This window comes from Homo sapiens, chromosome 18 (assembly GCF_000001405.40).
Source record: "Homo sapiens chromosome 18, GRCh38.p14 Primary Assembly".
In the NCBI taxonomy this organism is placed as follows: Eukaryota; Metazoa; Chordata; class Mammalia; order Primates; family Hominidae; genus Homo; species Homo sapiens.
Window position 1 is genome coordinate 74,069,059 of NC_000018.10, and position 19,728 is coordinate 74,088,786.

The following is a 19,728-nucleotide window of genomic DNA, read 5'->3' on the forward strand; positions in this document are numbered from 1 at the left end:
GCTCCAATCCATCCTTTCCCATCTGTGTGGAAACCACGTCCAACCAATGACAGTTTGCTTTGGCCAAATGGAGGTGGAGTAGTTTAGAAACAAAATTTTCATTTATATTCTGATTTATATCTTCCTATTATTTGAATGTATTACCTTTGTATATGAAAACAAAGCAAAACATTTAAGAACTTCCGATCATGTAAAGAATCAAGTCCAACTCTATCTGGACATGCTGTTCCCTTCTCAGCATGGCCCAAGCTGTGGCAGGTTTACTTTCTCCAGGCTGTAACCACAGCAAGCCCCTCTCCACACCCTTTACACGAGGGACTCTTGTGCAACCCTGGGCTCTTGTGAAATGGGAGAATTCTCCTGTGAAGAAACTGGCAGCCCTAAAGAACAGACTTCCTAATACGCATATTTGGAGGTCCCAGTACCAAACGCAGTGCAGGGCCCAATTACTCCAGTGTACCCATCAGTTGACAAGTGGGTCCCCTCGGCAGACCTCCTGCACAAGTGGGTTCCCTCGGCTGACCTCCTGCTGCACTTCTGAGGGCCTCAGTCTTAAATATGAGCAGACACAGAGGCTCCAACAGGCAACCCTGAGAGCAAGGCAAATAGACTGACAAAGACAGCCTGAATTCCACAAAACAAAGGGCATGGGAAGATGTGAAAACCTTTTTTTTTTTTTGTTAACTTTTTACTTTGAAACAATTTCAGGTTTACAAAACAGTTGCAAAAATATAACAAAGTTTTCCCATATGCCCGTCATTCAGACTCACCAAATGGTGACGTCACATTTTGATATTAAAGTCAGGAAATGAATGCTGACATGCTATAAACTACAGCCCTTTTCGCATTTCACCTGTGGTTCCATTAGTGCCATCTTCTGATCCAGGATCCCATCTGAGATCACGCGTTGCTTTCATCTGCCCCCTCCAGTCGAGGAGACATTGCCTTTTATGACCCCGACACTTTTAAAGGGGAATGTAGACTACAAGTACAAATTTAAGTGCAGAGTTCCCTCCAACCTATATTTGTCTGATGTTTCCCCATGTTACCATCCTTGTTATACATTTTTGATAAAATGCCACAAAGTGATAAGGTGTCTTTCTCATGGCATGATCAGGAGGCAAACGTCTGCCCATTGCTGACGCTGCTAAGCACTGGTTAAGGTGCTGTCCTAGGCTCCTTCACTGTGAACTTCCTATTTTTTCCTTTGTAACTAATATTATTTTGTGGCAAAATCTTTGAGACTATGTCAATATCTCCTTTCTCATCATACTTTCACCCACATATTTTAGTATCTACTGAAGAGTCTTGCCTAAGACTATTATTACTACTATGGTTTTGCCAAATAGTTAAGATAAAAACTTTATTGAAAACTGAAATCAATAACCTAGAGATGTGTGCAGAACTTGGCAAACTACAGCCTGAAGGCCAAATTCAGCTGCTGTTTTTATAAATAAAGTCTTTTTGGAACACAACCATGCCCATTTGTGTACCACCTATAGCTGACTTCACACGACAATGGCACAGTTGAGGAGTTACAGCAGACACCATATGGCCCACAAAGCCTCAATTATTATCTGGCCTGTGCAGAAAAAGTTTGCCAACACCTGCTTTAGAGAAAATATTACATTTATAAAACAGACACAAATGCTTTAGAAGGAACTAGAAAACAGAGTTCTTACAAAGTAAAACCCTGATCATCAAAATAAAAAATAAAATACAAAAATGATGCAATATTCCATAAAGCAGAACAAAAGACTAAAAGACAGACGATAAGATGGAAAAGATAAGGCATTTGAGAGAATCAATCCAGAAAGAATCACAGTTAACAAAACTGAAAGACAGCAAAGAAACTACTGTCCGATTTTTTTTAAATCCAAGACTTAAGTACACAAGTTCATAGATAAAAATGACCCATAATGAATGCAAAAAACCTATTCCAACGCACATCATCTTGAGATTTTAAGATACCAGGAGAGAAGAGTAAACCCTAAAAGCCTTCAGCGACTAGAGAAAGAGAGAAGACCACATACAGAGGAAGAAAAGGCAAAGTGGCATTAGATACAGCAACAATGATAACAACTGTCTTCAAAGTTCCCAGTGAAAACATTTTTCTTCCTACAGTTTGGTACCCAATTAAACTATCCATCAGATATTTTTCAGAAATTCATAGATTCAAAATATATCTTCCGTGTCATCTTTCTTAGAAAGCCACAGGAGAACATGTACCACTGAAAAAAAGGATATGAACCAGTAAAGAGGAAGACAGGATTCCATAAAATGGAGGATGCATGCAGGGAACCCCAGAATGACAGCTGCCCAGCATGGCTAGAGAACAAGCATTTCACAGCAAAAAGAGATGGATCTCCAGGGCTGAAGTATCCTGGGAGAAACAAAAAGTAGAATTCATAATCTGATATGTTTAAAATTATTTAGAAATATGGAGGCAAATATAAGAGACAGCTTTAAAAGCTGAATATTAATATCTCAGACATGTGTAAGTGACACTGGGACAGGGCTGTCCGCTGGCATCTTTCAGTTGTGTGTGGCATGCACACCTGTTTTCATGAGACTCTTCAAAGCACCAAGGCTTTATGAGCACTGCCTCCTCCGCCTCACCCTTCCCCATTGCTGCCCAGTAAACCTTCCTTCCAGGGTGAACTCAGATGTCACCTGAGATGTAAGGGACTCCCAGACTCATCGGTCAGAATTGCTCCCTGTTTCCTTCATGCTCCCATAGCTGCTGGTATATCCCGATAACGGTTTCCATTGGTTTGACAAATCGTTATTGAGTATCGATTATGGAGCACCTGGCATGCTCCTAGGTGCTGGAGATGAAGCAGTGAACCATTGTCCCTGCTCACAGGACTAGCAGTCTAGCAGGGAAGGCAGGCGTTCATGTCCACGGAGCTCCACTGTGCCATCCCTGGAGGTCCTTGCTTCCTTCCCTCCTCCATCCCAACATAATTAAACAGGAGGTAGAGAACAGGGCTTCTTCCCCCGCTCTACTATGTTTCCAGTATTGTCAGGACATCTAGTCCCTCACAATTTAACCCAGGGGGTTCAGGGGGGTCTCCATGCATTTTCTCGTGGTTGTATTCCAACGCAGCTCTGTAAGCGGCACTCAGCATCCCTGGCCTCCCTGACTCCTAGTCCTCATCTGGGCTCAGTGCTGAGGCCAGTGCCTCCTTCTTCCCCTGATGCTCACTCAGCTGGGGAAGACACTCCACATTCCCTCATTGGTGACACCATGAAATAACACAGCCCAGTGCTCACAACATCTGACCGCATTTCAAATTCCTCTCTTCCCAAGGACTTTGGCCCAAGGTCATGGAGGACAGGAGGGTGGAGGACGGTGTCAGCAGCAGAAATCCTTTTACTCTCTCATTTTTTGGGGCAAGAACATAATATCTGTCCCCCATCTTCACTTGATTGCTGTCTTCAGGCTCTTTATTCTGCACTCTCACATGCTCACTATCATACACATACCTCCAAAGAGAAAGTGGCCAGGTCACTAAACAGGAGAAGAATGAAACACAGAGAGGGGGAATGTGCTCATGCACGCCTGAGAAGGAGGAACATGGCAGGACGTCGAAAACCACCTTGGAGGGGATCTTTCAAGTAGGGGATAAAAATATAATCAAAACAACCAACACAATCTAAAACAAATGTAGAACCAAATGCCCTAAAATAACATAGGCTTAGATACTTATCACCCCTATTTGAATCCTGATCATCTGTCAATTTTCTTAAAATATTTCTGCAGAGGAAGTTTCAATAACTCATCCGTCTCTATCCCCACTCACACAGAGCTGGTGTCCCCACTGGACTTGTACTGTGCCTTGCTCTTTTAAGTTATAACTTCCTTATGATTTCAGATATATCTTTCCTTGTGAATGAGGCCACTGGTCTATTTAACTTTATTAAATACCGATATGGCTGCTGACTGTCAAGAATGTAGCACTTTCTAATTCTAGTGAATATAATGAAATTTATATTAATATTTAAGTACATTTTCTCATTTGAGCTTCTTACCAATAAAGAAAAAGAAAAACCGTTATCTGTAAGAACACACCCCTACACACACATACACACACACACACAGAGTGATCACATGATCATTTGCTTAAGTAAAAGTTCTTAGATTTTTAACGAAGGGCGGAAGAGAAGTAAATACCTTTTCTTCTTTTTATATGAAGTTTCACTGTTATTTTTGTTTTTAAAATATAACTGAATCCTTCAAACATTAACTTAAAAATGACCCATAAATCATAATTTCTAATGTGAGATGAAAGGCATTGCACAGCACTCTGCAGATTTGCTTTATTTTAATTTTCAACACCAAGAACAAAGCCAGTCAAAAATAAACAACTAAATAACAACAATAATTTGCCACCTACTGCTAATATTCAGTCCCAAACCAATGGTTGATTTTTGCGATACTAAGATAAAGGACCAGGTTGACAATAAGGTATTCTTCGGTCTCTCTGATCCACACCAGCTCCACGTGCACTCTTCCTTCCGCATCAACGTAGTCCACGTTGTATGTCTGTCCCAAGAAGCTAGAGCTGTCAGAGGGTGTGGCAGGCGATCTCAGGCACACCGGGGAACTGAAACACCAAAAGGGTTTCCCATGTTCATCCAAAAGAGTTACGTCCATCATGGAACAACTCTGCAAAATAAACACAGATTGACAAGGATAAAAAGGCCAATCAGACCTGATTTTCACAGAAAATCGTGACTCTGTAAAACTCACTAGAAATGCTGCGTGTGGCATCAAAATCCAGAATACTATCATTGGTTTTTCATGGCCTACTTCATAACCTAGATTATACTTGGGCTTTTGTGTGTCTCATCACTTAATATTCATTCTCAAATATACACAGGAGCTCTCACAGGGCTCAGTTTAGGACTTAGCACTGGGAGCTCAGAGAAATGTGTCACAAATATTGTCCCTCTCCTCATGGAAGTTAAAGTACAGTGGCTACAGATGTGACACAAATCACACCAACAACCAGTCAGCGCTTCCGAGCGTGAGGCACCGCATCACCCTGAGAAGCAGTGTGCCTGTGTTCCTGGGTCTTCACTGCCACCACCAGGCCGACCCCTCCCCTCTTCTGAGAAACCTGCTTCTCTGAGGCTCTGAACTGCAGCTCTGCACCCATGCTCCATGCCTGTCTCTGACATGTGCCAGCCTCCTGTCCACCCACTCTCATTTCCAGGACTCTGGCACCAGCCCTGCTGTCTGCCTCTCCCTCTCACTCTCTCCCAAGTCTTCCAAGTCTCACTGTCATCCCAAGTGATCCCAACATCCGTGGGGACCCTGGTGGAGCCTCCAGTATCCTGGACTCTCAACTCCTGAGCTGGTCAACTCCATGACCTCCTCCTCGACTTGACCTCAGTTATTCACTCCCACAGTCACATGGCCGACACAGCACTTCCCGGAAGTGGTCCACTTTCACTATCCATGCCTCAGGCACCCTGTCTTCTAACTGCCACCCTTCGTCTTCCAGCTGACTCACTGGATGACTTCCACTACAACTGTACTTCAGATTTACCCAGTGTTTTCACCCTGCAAGCCATGACCTATTAATGTATCCTGAAGTAAATTTAGCAGGACACAACTGTTTGTCAAAATAAAATGAAAAAGAACATAGTCGGCATGCATTACATACACTAAGCATAAACGTCATTTCATGAACGCTGCTTTCATTGCACATGAATGTGTGGTCTGTATATGCCCATACCGCAGTGGATATGTAAAAAGGCCTGAAGAGCACTGCCCATGGACCTAGCCCACCCACTAGCCAGCCCTTCCTTCTCCCGCCTCTTCCTTTCCACTTTAGATTTCACTGGCCTTTGCTGGAATAACACTCTTGCCAATGCACATACCTCCCTCACTCCCCTTGCAACACACCTTAGGGCCAGGTCCAGCAAAACCCCAGCCCCAGAGGAGCGCAGTTATTTTCTATCTGTCTGGACCTGAGCACCAAGCACAGCGGGAGGGCTGCACGCAGAGCTGCTGGGTGCCCATGCAGCTGCACCATCCTCAGCTCGGCCTGACGGTCCCACCCTGGCTCTCTGGGTGGCTCCCTCTCCGCCTCATGGAACAACACCTCATCCCCTCCCTCAGCCCTCTGCATCCTGCTAGGAGGGTGATCTCTGCAGAGAACCTCGGCCTTCACAGACAGGGGAGAAGGATGTTTTCCTCAACTTCCCACTGCAGATCCACAGCCCAGCTCCTCTGCGCCCACCTCTCCTCACATGTGTTTCTCATCTGCTCCTCCCGGGTGTGGCCCAGTAACCTCCTGCTGCAGCGTAGCCCATCTTGCAAAGGCATGATGTCCCTCTCAAGTGACTACTTCTGTCCTCCCATCAGCTTTTAGTCTTTAACACATTCAAGTAACTCCCATCTTAGAGAGGCAGAGAGAGGGAAACAGCCTCCCTGGGCCCCGCAGGCCCCTGCTCTTTCCTCGCTTCCCAGACAACCCTCTCCAAAGAGCTGTCTCCGCTGGATTTGTCCATTAATACCCATTCACTCATCAAACCACTCTGGCCTGGTATCCTTTTTCCATCATCTGACCGAACATCTCTTGATAAGGCCACTAAATCCAGTGACCATCTGTCAGTCTGCTTCTCAGCAGTGTTTAGTTTTTCAAGAGAACAGTGAAGAGTAATTCTACCTCTCCAAATGCATCCAGAACCCACAAGCCCTGCAGCTCTCTACCCACTCCCATTGCTGAGGTTCCTACAGCTTGGTCCTAGGCCCTATTTTCACTCTATGTAATCTCTCCCCATAAATGGAACTCATCTACATTCACATCCTAAGTTATCACCAACATGCCTGTGATTCCCAAAAGTTTATCTCCAGGCCGAACTTCTTTTCTAAGTTCAAGACCTAAATATTCAAGTGCGTACTCAACTTCTGGATCTTTCAACGGTCCCTCAAGTCCAGCAGGACTATGCCCAAACTCAGGACCCTCCCAGCAAAGCTCTCCTGGTACTCCTCGTCCCAGGGACTGGTGGAACCATCATCAGTCATCTGGCTGTGCATGCCTGAAATGTGGGCGTCCTTCTAGGGGCCTCCCTCCTAGCCCTGACGAGCCAACCATCACCCAATCCCGTTAGTTCTTACCTCTCTTTCGAATCGCTTTAATTTTGTCCATCTCCATTGCCACTGCCCTAGTCCAAGTGCTATGGTCTGAATGTTTGTGCGTCCCAAAATCCGTGTCTTAAAATCTGATCACCAATGTGACTGTTTAGGCAGTGCGGCCTCTAGGAGGTGATTAGGTCACGGGGGCAGAGCTCTCATGAATAGGACTGAGGTCCTTATAAAAGAGGCCCACAGAGCTGTCTCACTCCTTTTACCAGGTGAGGACACTGCTAGAAGGTGCCTCTAGGAACTAGGAAGAGGGCCCTCACCAGACACCCATCTGCTGGTGCTTTGACCTTGGTGCTTCCAGCCTCCAGAACTGTAAGAAGTAAGTTTCTATTGCTTAAAAGCCACCCAGCTGATGGTGATATGTGATAGCATGCCAAGCAGACTAGGAAACCAAGTGACTGCTCTTCCTTTAAGGAGGCAGCCATCTAACTGATCTCCCCACTCATTCGCCATATTCAGAAGACAAACCTTTACAAAACATGAGTCTGAGCATATCACCCTGAGACAACTTTCCACGGCTCTCAAGAAAGAACCAAATTCCTTCCGGCTACCATTAAGGCCTGACCTGGCCTCATCCGCCCATCCCACCTCATTGCACACATCTTGCCATCTGTGCTCCAGCCACACTGACCCTTCACCCTTGAACACACCATGCCCCCAGCTGACAAAGAGCCACCCAAGCTCCCCTGCTGAGAGATCCTCTTCCCATCTTCTCTTTGTCCATCTCAGCATTCAGTTCGAATACCAGTCCCTTGAGGAAGTTTCCCTGATACTCTCATCTCAACTGACCATGTACCCAATGGGCAGAAACACCAGTGTGTTGAATGCAGAACTTGATACAGCTGCAGTGCTGAAACTGACTCGGCCCGGCCAGTGCAGGTAGAGATGGATGCTAAGCACCAAGAGGGCAGGACTTAGGCCAGCTTGGTTCAGCATCGTGCCCCTGGCCACCTGCATATGCACACAGTCACTGAAGCTCAACCACTATGTGCTGAATGAATGAATGAGTGTGATAAAATGAGAGGGAGGTGGTAAGAGTAGTGATGGAGGTGCTGGTTGTTATTAAACACTAAGGTAGGACAGCAGGAGCCCTAATGCATCAGGGGCAGCAAACACCAGGAAAGAAGAGATGGGTGAAGAAGCAGCCAGCATGAAACACACTAATCCCTGATGGGAGAGTGCACGCCAGAGCCTAAGGCCCCTCACATCAGATGAGCTACACAGTGAGACCACCCAGGAACCCCTCAGACACCTGACCTTGCTCCCTGATGCCTTTCCCAGGCAATCGGCTGCAGTGGTCCTGGAACAGCAGCGACCAGCCCCACACAGCCTGTTCCACAGCACCCACTGCTTCCTGCATGACAGGGACCACCACACACAGAGCCTGGGCTGCGAGGAGGACACCAGAGTGGGGAGCAGGTGGGGAATAAGAAAAAACACCCTACACTGCAGCCTCACTGAGGCTGAGAATGGGGGAGTTGAAGCCAATACTGAGGGCCAGCAGATGGCTCTGTCTTTGGCAGGCAGCCGGAGCCCTCCTGGAATGGGCATTACCACTGTGGCCGTTTTAGAGAGAAGGCTCTGAGGTCTAAGCACCTCTGAGATAACACAGCAGGTGGGACTGCATGGTGCATCCATCTTCCACACCCCACCACCCTGCACGACCTTAGCCACTGGGCTAGCAGTCACTTGACTGTGTTACTTACAACCTCACCAAACCCACCAGCATAGAGATGGTGGTTAGATCCTATGGGAGGAAGGAGGTGGAGCCCTGGGTCCCATCACCTGCGAGAAGGTTGAGGAGGAGAAACCCTGGCAGAAGTCAGGAAGGAGCGGCCGGTGGGGCACAAGGGCTCCTTGGTGAGGACGCTGCTCACAGCCCTAAGCCGTCGGTGGGTGTCTCAGTCTTTCTGCTCTCCCACCTCCTCTGCTGCCAGATCAAGAGCTGGGAGCTGACTCTCCTCTGAAGCCCTCCTAGTTCTCAAAGTCCAGCATTCTCCAATTCCCTCCTAACCTAAAACATGGCCTAGCACACGATAGGCACATCAAACTCTTTAACAACATCCACAGATACACCAAAATCCAAATTCTTTCCTGAGGGTTTCAAGGCCCCCCCCCGACCTGCCCCAGCAGCCTTTCCAATGCCCCCCAGTCACTGTCCCTCCTGTCCCCGGGTGCTAGCCCACCCCAGGCAGGACAGCCAGCTAGGAAGAGGCCCGCCTCAGCACCAGCCGCAGCGGCACAGTGGGTCTCGCACCCCTCCCCGGGCCAGCTGCCCCTCACCTCTAGAAGCTCGCTCCTTATTTCCCATCCTGTCCGAAGCATCTCTTTCTCCACTGGGTTCCTTCTCCAGAATAAATCACTCCCAACCTTCTGGGGGGGGATGCATGTCAGAACCTCTCATGAGCCTTCCTCCCACTGGCCCCTTTCCTCTTTCTCCTCACAGAACTTGTTTTCAATCATCCCTCTCCTAAATCAGTCCCTCTCACCCTGAACGTCCAGGAGGCACACATCTGAGCAGTCGGCAGACCTCACCCTCCTTGCAGGAGGAAGTCTCTCCTCACCTGCGCTCCCATGGACCAGTGAACTACGCCAGGCTCAAAACTCAGTGTCTGGGGAGAGTGCAGCACTCGCACGTGTGGGACTGTTCTGTTCTTCCTGCGATTTTCGGTTGTATCAGCACCAGCAGCCTTAATCACCCATGCAGCTGCAGTGCTTGTCAAGTGAAGTGGCCAGGATGCCTTTCTCATGGGCCACGGCCACCCACAACATGCTGACCCACGATGTACCCACAGCAGGCTCTACTGAACTCAGCTGTTCTTACATAAAGCAGAACCACAGAACTACACTGAAATATCTAGTCTAAATAAAAATTGATGCCAATCTCCATATAGATTTAGAAGTAACATTAAAATAACATCAAAAATGCCAAGGAGTGAAAGAAAAACATAAAAGAAACATACGGGAAAAGCCTCACCAAAAGAAAATCCATCCATCTGAAATTCTGATAGGCGCTGGGAGGAGACAGAGCAGGAGAGTATTTCACTTTGATTACTTGACTTATGCTGAAGACTGCAGCAAGGTTACCTTGAGAGGGTAGCCTAGCTGTTTCAACATGACTTTGTAAAATAGCATGGTAACCACTTACAGAGCAAGCGTCCTGCATGGATTCAGTACTAACACGTGGCCACTGAAAGCATCTTTAAATGAAAAGTTCTGGAGATTAGACAGTAGTGATGGTTATACAACAATGAGAAGGTATGTAAGCCACTGAAATATAGAAGTCAAGTGGTGAAGGTGGTAAATTTTATGTTTATTTTACCACAATTAAAATACAGCTCATTCATAATATTATTGTAATAATTATCAGTATCTTTTGAGTTTTTTAAAAAAAGAATAAAAAACTGACCTACTTAGAATGTGATTTTTAAAGAATTTTAAAGTTTAATAATTTACCACATAAACTTATGATCTGTTGAGTTTTTGCTCTAGGAACTCAAACTAAAGATACTTTCCACCTGAATTACCTCCACACCAGTAAGTGTTGGAGGTCACTCAACTCTGAGGTTGGAGGAAGACGGAGATTCTCATGGGAACAGCAGGTCCCAAGGACATCAGATGTCCTTTCACGACTGCACATCACTTCAACCAACACGACACAACTAGGCAGCATCCTCCGTCATTATCATTAATATTTTCTCACTTCTTTGTCCTTCCACCAGCATCGTATTTGGGTGACGTACTTTCTCAGTAGCCTATGCTCTGACAGGCATCGTAAACTATTTAGTAGAAGCTCCTCACCAGAGGTTGTGTCTACAATTTCCAGAAGGAGCCGGGTTTTTATTTTACATTTTTTTAAAAGTCATATGTACCTAAGAAACTTTCTAAGCTTATGTCCATGCTTTAAAAAAAAAGTTTTTAACTCCTTCCAAGCAATTTCTTAAAATAAATGTTATCATTTCACTATTCTTAGGGTGATCAGATTCCTGGAGAGAAATACCTGAGCTGCACAGCAAATACAAGACATATGACATCACTGATCTGACTTTTTATTCTTTTGGGAATTCTGAGGACGGCTTAGTCTTAATACTGAATCCAAGAGCATAAAAGGCAAACAGAAAATAAACCACATCTACCCTCCAGGCCCAAGGGAGAAGGTACAAGCTTTTGAGCTATCTGCTATCTTTTCCCAAAGCCCATCTGAGAGAAGGAATTTATGGGGAAAACTGTCCAGGGACATGCAATCCATTCTCTACTTTAAAAACTCAAAATCCTGCTTTCAGATCAAGCTGTTTTTCTAAACACCTGTGCACCTCAGTCACATTGGTTTAGCAACCTACAGAATCACTGCTTGGAGCTCATGTAAAGGTCCAATTTTGAAGCCGTATCTTCAGCTTCTCTGAGAACTTCTATGAGAAATCTGTGAGTGCATCTGCTGCTAAGATGCTATTCAGGGTGGGTCCATTATGTAGCTTAGTCTGCCCTACATAAAGTCCCATTGGAAATTTTGTTTTTAATGATCAGAACTGGGATAAAGCTTTCTTTGTATAATTACTACATTTCCCTTTTTTCTCCCAATGAGAACTAAATGACTGCTCTCATCTTTCTCTGGACTACCAGAAAACACAGAACAAATTATTTTTAAAAATTATGCTGACCCTTTAAAAGACAGTCACATTCACATTCTGCCTTTCTTGATCCTCAAGGTCTATTTTGACGTGAATATTTTATCTTAGTACCTACTTTTATTATAGGCTTTATTGAAATCTGAAGAAAAAGAAAGAAGGTAGGTCTGTGCTCTTAAAGGCATGAAACAACATGGTGTGTGATAAACATCATTTTTACCAAAACTTAAACATTTGCTATGAATAAATAGGATTTGTAAAATATCTCATTGCATCAAATATCAAGTGGCTCAAGGGACAGTGCTTCATGATAACACCACTCTTGGTCCCAGTCGTCATCATTAATAGTTCTAACAAGGTGCGCATGCATAGCGCCGTATAAAGCCATGTTACAGGAGGCCCCCGCAGTCACAGGAGATTGATCCCACTGGTCCCTGGGACAATGAAAATCTTGTTCATCCCATAAAATAAAGTTGGAGAGTGACAAGAACCAGGAGCAGCCATGGGCACAAGGACAGAAGAAAGCAAAACTGTGAGAACATCTTTCTCCTCTTCCTCCTCCTCCCTCCTTCCCTGCTACTTCCCAACCACTAAGTCAACTCTCCCACCCATGTGGCTAATCTTTATTTAACAGTTCAAGGAAATCCCTATATCCTGGACTAAGAATTTATAACTGCAATAAGTTTTAAATTGGTACATGGATGATCAAGATGTTTTGAGTAGATGCTGCCTGCGTGGTCCAACCTTCAGTTCCACTCTCTTTCCACAAAACAGAGGGGCTTTGAGAGAGTAGGGGACTGTGATCAACAGTGTTCTGAAATGCTGCTGCAGACTACCTGCCCCTCCAACTCCACCATACTCAGTGACAAATGAAAGGTACTCAATAAGCATCTCATGAGTGAATCCACTGGCTGTCAATGGCTAACAGAATGTGCACCAACCTTCAGAAACCAGAACAATAAATCCAGAACTATAAAAGAAACATCATACATATATGACAATATAATTTATATATATAAACAGACTTTTTATTATATAGAAATCAAGTTACTTGAAGAAAAGAAAACGGTTCTGTTTTTACCTTTATACAGCCATCAAAAATATCAGTTTTCCACGAGAGGCCAACTTTTCCAATAAGAGGTAGGTGTTCTCTGTTATTTTTTAAATGTATAACAATGAGCTTCACATGTCCATTTTCAATATTTCCTGAAAAGATATAAGATTGTTTCAATCACTGTCTTCCAGTGCAAGATGACAAACCAAGCACGTTCAGTCGGCGACTTTATAAGGATACCTCACCCTGGTAAGCCCTGGCCTCAGCGATGAGGGCAACATGGGCACAGCAATCCCAGCCTCTGGCTTGAGGCCAGAGTGATGCATCTGTGTCCCAGAGGCAGAAACATTAACAAGTGCCCAGAAAGGTGATGTCAAAGGTGAGTCAGGGGAAGCTGGCTGAGGCGAGCCTGGATAGCCACCTGTCACTGATGGAAAGGTGGTCGCTGAAGGAGGAAAGGGTTCTTCTGATGTGGGTAAGCCAACAGTGTTGGAAACCGATATCTAGAATTACACAGCTGAAGAAAGCAGGTGCAGAAATGGCAAAGAAACAAGGGGCTGGAGAGCAGGCGAACATGAAGAGGAGTGGAAGAAACTCACATGAAATAAACCAACACCTCTGCACATGCTTGTAACTGAGTGAGAGTCCGTGCACATGCCCACCTAGCTGGAGGCCAAACCCTGGCCCTCTGCTGCCAGCTCCAAGCCAGCTACTGGCAGCCTGGCCACACGGAGGAGCCCTCGCACCCACACAGCACACTAGCCCTGCTGCCACAGGCCTCTTGTGGCAGGGAGAGCCGCAGCACCACTCGGTCTCACACAGACACAAGCTTCCTGGTTCTGTCTGAACGCACCCTGAGAAGCGACCATCAGTTGCTTCTCACACAAACCAACCGACAGCAACACAACTCATACCCGAGAATTCTCCAGAGATGGAAGTCTGAACAAAGGGAAGATGCAAGTCACAGGGCAAAGCAAACAGAAAAATCATGGAAAAGAGCAAATGTTCTCCAGCCCTGGCCTGGTTATTTCATGAGACAAAATAAAACCAAAGCCAAGCTGCCTTGGGAGCCAAAGCTCTGCTCTAGAAATGTTATACAGTGTTCTCCAACTTCAGTGTCACCAGAAGGTTAAAGCCCACACTTTGCCTGGGGCCTCTTTTGTGACCCAGTAATATGCTTTAAGTGAAAGAGGACGCAGAGGCAGGGTTTCCAGCCCCGCAAACGGGAGCTCCTTGCCCAGATGCCACACTGCTGGTTTCTCCACGTCTTACTTCTGTTCCAAGGACAGAGGCAGCCCACATTTTCCTCTCTAATGCTGAGTAATTAGCAAGAGCTGTGTAGCTTCCCTTCCACTCTCCCCAGGCATAGGAAGAAATGCCAAATGACACGGACCCTTCCCAGGCAACAGCTCTGCTGTCACCTCATCACCTCGTCACCTCAGCAGGGCTCGACGGAAGCAGGGAGGAAGTGTATGAAAAGCGAGGCCTCAGTGGAGGCACAGTAATGACATTCTGAATGGACCAGATGTGACTCTGCTCTGCCCTGCACTACTGCAGCCACGTGCAAAACCAAGGGAGGCCTCTGACTGGTGCGGCAAAGGCAGGCAGCCGACGGCGCCTACAGAAAACCAGGAGCTCATCTTCCACACAGCTTGTCCCCAGGACACGGCAGAAAATGCACTCCAAATACAGCAGCCAATAACGTCTCAGTGGCAACTGCCTGAGCTAATAAACCTCAAATCCCTGTAGGAAGCAGAGACTGTTATTTTGTTATTACCAGGTATTCTCCCACTTCAGAACAATTATAACACTGTGGTGTCTCCAAAGGTCAGAGCTCTTTCCGCCAACCCTCTGTAACCACTTATAAGACAGAGAAAGGTTAAGCTCTTCCTACATTTAAACAGTCTGCACATGGAACAGATGTGTGAAAGTGTGTGTATATAAAATAGGTGTATTTTTGAGTACTTATTGTATACCAACCACTGAGTTAGACACTTAACAGCTTAGAAGAATACTTTAACACCTTAATAATAATATTAACTGGGTAATATAATTTTCTGAATTCATAGGTGATAAAACTGATGCAGAGAGGTTAACAGTAACTCGCCCAAGGTCAGATCCCTGGTCAACGGCAGAAACATGATCCAAACCCTGTTCTGTGTCCAGAGTCTATGTTACAATAGAGTAAGAAATATGCAAAACATAGCACTAATTAATTACTAGCCAATAATTTATAATGCAGATTCAGATTCTCATGTTTGTTTTCATACTACTCCCAAGAGAAAAGCCTATTTATAAATTAGCAAGCAGGATACACTGGGGAATCACTATGGCTTCCCAATACTTGAAGTAATGGCTCAGCCTATGAGTCCCACAGCCTCTGCTCCCAGCCCTCCTTATAAGCCGGTCACTGGTGATGCAGGCTCCTTCAGTGAGACACATGTGTTCCTGTAAACCTGGAGTCGGAAATGAGCATGAGAGGAGGAAGAGAACGGGAAGAGCCATCTGCTGGCAGAGGCAGTGGCAGGGGCCTGCGCCTCAGGCGGGCAGGAGCAGAGGTTCTGAGGCTGCTAATGGTTACTATACTGCTGATAGTTTCACAAGAGAAGCCACAGAGCATGGCTTTGCATCTATAAACACAGAGTGTGGCTCTCCTAGAGAGACTATGAGCAAGTATAGCCTTCATTAAATTCCCGTGCTCCTTAAGTCATTCAGAATAAACTCTGTTCTTGGAGACTCTAATCTTAACTTACCAATACACAAGACCATCTGCAAAATTCAGCAAAATACAATTTGAGGCTCACCATCCTTGGTTTCCAGTGACACTGTACTGGTAAGCATGGCCTTTAGACTCATAAAGACCTCATTCCAAACCCTGCTCAGCCATTTATTAACTGTATAACCACGGTCAAGTTCCGAACTCAGTAAAATACGGATACAAACAGCACTTGATAAGGCCTTGTGAGGATGAATGGAACTGATAATATTAACATTATGCAGTAGTTGATTATGTATGCCAAGCTAAGTGTGTTAAGTACCCTCTATACTTTATCTCAATAATAATATTCTATCTAAAGACTGTCAAGTGCATTGTCAAGCAGAATGTGGAGATGTGCCATGTTTGTAGACTGGAAGACCCAATATAGTGAAGATGTCCAATTACCCAAACTTATCTATTATAGTTTCACACAATCACAAGCATAATCCCAATAGGTACTTCAGAAAATGGTTTATAAATAATTAATACTTATATAAATAATAATATTGGCAAGATGATTCTAAACTCCATATGAAAATGCTATGGACCTAAAATAGCCAAAACAATCTTGGAAAAAAAAAAGTTGACTTCAAGACTTACTATAGAGCTACAGAAATCAAGACAGTGTGGGATTATTTATAAAGACACACAGATTGGCTGGGTGCAGTGGCTCACACCTGTAATCCCAGCACTTTGGAGGCCAAGGTAGGTGGATCACCTGAGGGCAGGAGTCCGAGACCAGCCTGGCCAACATGGTGAAACACCATCCTACTAAAAATACAAAAATTAGCCAGGTGTGGTGGCAGGCATCTGTAATCCCAGCTACTCAGGAGGCTGAGGTGGGAGAATCGCTTGAACCAAGGAGGCAGAAGTTGCAGTGAGCCGAGATCGCACCACTGCACTCCAGTCTGGGCAACAGAGTGAGACTCCGTCTCAAAACAACAAAAAAAAGACACACAGATCAATAAAATGGAATAGATTGGTTCAGAAATAGACCTACACTTTTACAAGCAATTGATTTTTGACAAAGTCATCAAAATGATTTGATGAGCAAAGAAAGTCTTTTCACAAATGGTACAAAAACAACTGGACATCCACACTGGGAAAGAACATCAACTTATCTTCTAATTTACACAAAACACAGATAACAAACCGAAATGCAAAAGCTGAAACCATAACAATGGTAGGAAAAACAAAGAAGAATATCTTTATAACCTGGGATAGAAAAAGTTTTAAAACAGGAAAAAACAACCAGGAAATTTAAAATTGATTAGATTTCATCAAATGAGAAACACTAATTTGTAACACTTTCATAATAAGTCATCAGATGTACAAACCAAGAAAACATGTACTAACAAGTACTAATAAATATGCTATAATGAATTATCTGCTTTGACTTTTCTAGGTAATTACCACTCAGAAAGGAGTATACTGTTTCTAATGCTTTACCTATTATAAATTCTTGGGGAGTATAATCTGAACTAGACACAGAAAAAAAATTAATATCAAGAAACTTGATAATATCAAGATGGAACGAAAAGTCACCTATTTTTGGAATTACAACAATAAAAAAGACAATAACATGATATATACAAAAATAACTGAAAAAAACTCAAAAACATTAAAGAAGAATTTCATAAGGAGATCACCTGCACTTCTCAGGTTCTGCTGCTAAAGAGCTAAACAATCTCCTACCTCTGAGGCCCATAACTTGTTTTTCATACCCTTGACATTTTCTATTGTGTCTTACAGAGTAAGCACTGAATAGCGTTTTGTTTTGTTTTGTTTTTAGACGGAGTCTCACTCTGTCGCACAGGCTGCAGTGCAGTGGTGCGATCTCAACTCACTGCAAGCTCTGCCTCCTGGGTTCAGCCCCCCAAGTAGCTGGGACTACAGGCGCCCGCCACCACGCCTGACTAATTTTTTGTATTTTTAGTAGAGATGGGGTTTCACCGTGTTAGCCAGAATGGTCTCGATCTCCTGACCTCATGATCCGCCCACCTCAGCCTCCCAAAGTACTGGGATTATAGGCGTGAGCCACCATGCCCAGCCAGCACTGAATAGTTTTTAATTGGTATTTTAATAGAAACTATATTACAGAAAGTCTATAGGATATAGAGCACATCTAACAAAATATGGAAACATAATAAGAATTTGTTCACAAAGGCAACACAAAAATAAGTATTAATAAATGGAGAAAGATGCAGGATCTACATAAAAGCATTTCTCCAGGGTACTAGAGGGAAACTTAAACACAAGCATATCTCAGACGTACCGCAGATTCAGTTCTAGACCACAGGAATAAAGCAAATATCACAAAAAAGCAAGTCACATAAATTTTCTGGTTTCCCAATGCATATAAAAGTTATGTTTATACTATACTCTTTTAAATGTGCAATAGCATTATGTCTAAAAAATAATGTACATATTTTAATTCAAAAATACTTTATTGCTAAAAAATGCTAATGACCATCTGAGCCTTCCGCAAAGCATTATCTTTTTGCTGGTGGAAGGTCTTGCCTCAATGTTGATGGCTGATGACTGATCAGGATGGTAGTTGCTGAATGTGGCTGTGGCATTTTTTTAAACTTTTATTTTGGTTCGGGTGTGCATGTGGAGGTTTGTTATATAGGTAAACCGCATGTTGCAGGGGTTTGTAGAGATTATTTCATCACCCAAGTAATAAGCATAGTACCCGATAGGTAGTTTTTGGATCTTCACCTTCCTCCAACCCTCCACCCTCAAGTAGGACCTGGTGGTATCTGTTGTTCCCTTCTTTGTGTTCATATGTACTCTATGTTTAGCTTTCACTTATAAGTAAGAACATACGGTATTTTGTTTTCTGTTCATTAGTTCACTTAAGATAATGGCCTCTAGCTCCATCTATGTTGGTGTAAAGGACATGGCTGCATAATATTGCATGGTATACAAGTACCACATTTTATCCAGTCTACCACTGATGGGCATTTAAGTTGACTCTATGTCTTTGCTATTGTGAATAGTGCTGTAGTGAACAGATACATGCATGTGTCTTCATGGTAGAATAACTTATAGTCCTTTGGGAACATACCCAATAATGGGATTGCTAGGTCAAATGGTAATTCTCTTTGCAGTTCTCTGAGAAATTGCCAAACTGCTTTCCACAATGGCTGAACTAATTTACATTCACACCAGCAGTGTATAAGTGTTCCCTTTTCTCCACAACCTTGTGAGCCTGTGTCATTTTTTTGAATTTTTAATAATAGCCATTCTGATTGGTATAAGATGGTATCTCACTGTGGTTTTGATTTGCACTTCTCTAATGATTAGTGATGTTGAGCATTTTATCATATGCTTGTTGGCAGCATGTACGTCTTCTTTTGAAAATTGTCTGTTCATGTCCTTTGCCTACTTTTTAATGGGGTTTTTTTTGCTTGTGAATTTAAGTTCCTTACAGATGCTGGATGTTAGACCTTTATCAAATGCACAGTTTGCAAATGTTTTATCCCATTTGATAGGTGTCTGTTTACTTGGTTGATAGTTTCTTTTGCTGTGCAGAAGCTCTTTAAAGTAAGTCCCATTTGTCAATTTTTGGTTTTGTTGCAATTATTTTTGGTGTCTTCATCATGAAATCTTTGCCAGTCCTATGTTCAGAATGGTATTTATTAGGCTATCTTCCAGGGATTTTATAGTTTTAGGTTTTACATTTCAGTCTTCAATACATCTTGAGTTGATTTTTATATGTGGTGTAAGGAATTGGTCCAGCTTCAATCATCTGCATATGGCTAGCCAGTTATCCCTGCATCATTTATTGAATAGGAAGTCCTTTCCCCATTGCATGTTTTTGTCTCTTTGTTGAAGATCAGATGGTTGTAGGTGTGTGTGGCATTATTTCTGGGCACTGTATTCTGTTCCATTGGTCTATGTGTCTGTTTTTATGCAAGTACCATGCTGTTTTGGCTACTGTAGCCTTGTAATATAGTTTGAAGTCAGGAAATGTGATGCCTCCAGCTTTGTTCTTTTTGCTTAGGATTGCCTTGACTATTTGGGCTCTTTTTTTGTTCCATATGAATTTTTAAATAGTTTTTATCTAATTCTGTGGAGAATGTCATTGGTAGTTTGATAGGAATAACACTGAATCTATAAATTA

At 43.8% G+C, this 19,728-nt stretch overlaps 1 protein-coding gene across 7 annotated transcripts in view; it reads right to left on the minus strand.

The window, feature by feature from the left end:
- Window positions 1-4,309: 4,309 nt before the first annotated feature.
- Window positions 4,310-19,728, minus strand: part of FBXO15 (F-box protein 15) — a 74,467-nt gene continuing 59,048 nt past the window's right edge. For 6 of the 7 annotated variants that reach the window (XM_011525856.2, NM_001142958.2, NM_152676.3 and 3 more), the window contains 2 exons: window positions 12,869-12,993; window positions 4,310-4,672 (listed from right to left, as the gene is read on the minus strand). In XM_011525856.2, coding sequence (XP_011524158.1) covers window positions 4,403-4,672; window positions 12,869-12,993 — 395 coding nt within the window. In that variant the 3' untranslated portion in view covers window positions 4,310-4,402. Of the gene's footprint in view, window positions 4,673-12,868; window positions 12,994-19,728 lie in introns of those variants that run through there. The other variant, XM_011525860.1, reaches the window with a different exon arrangement.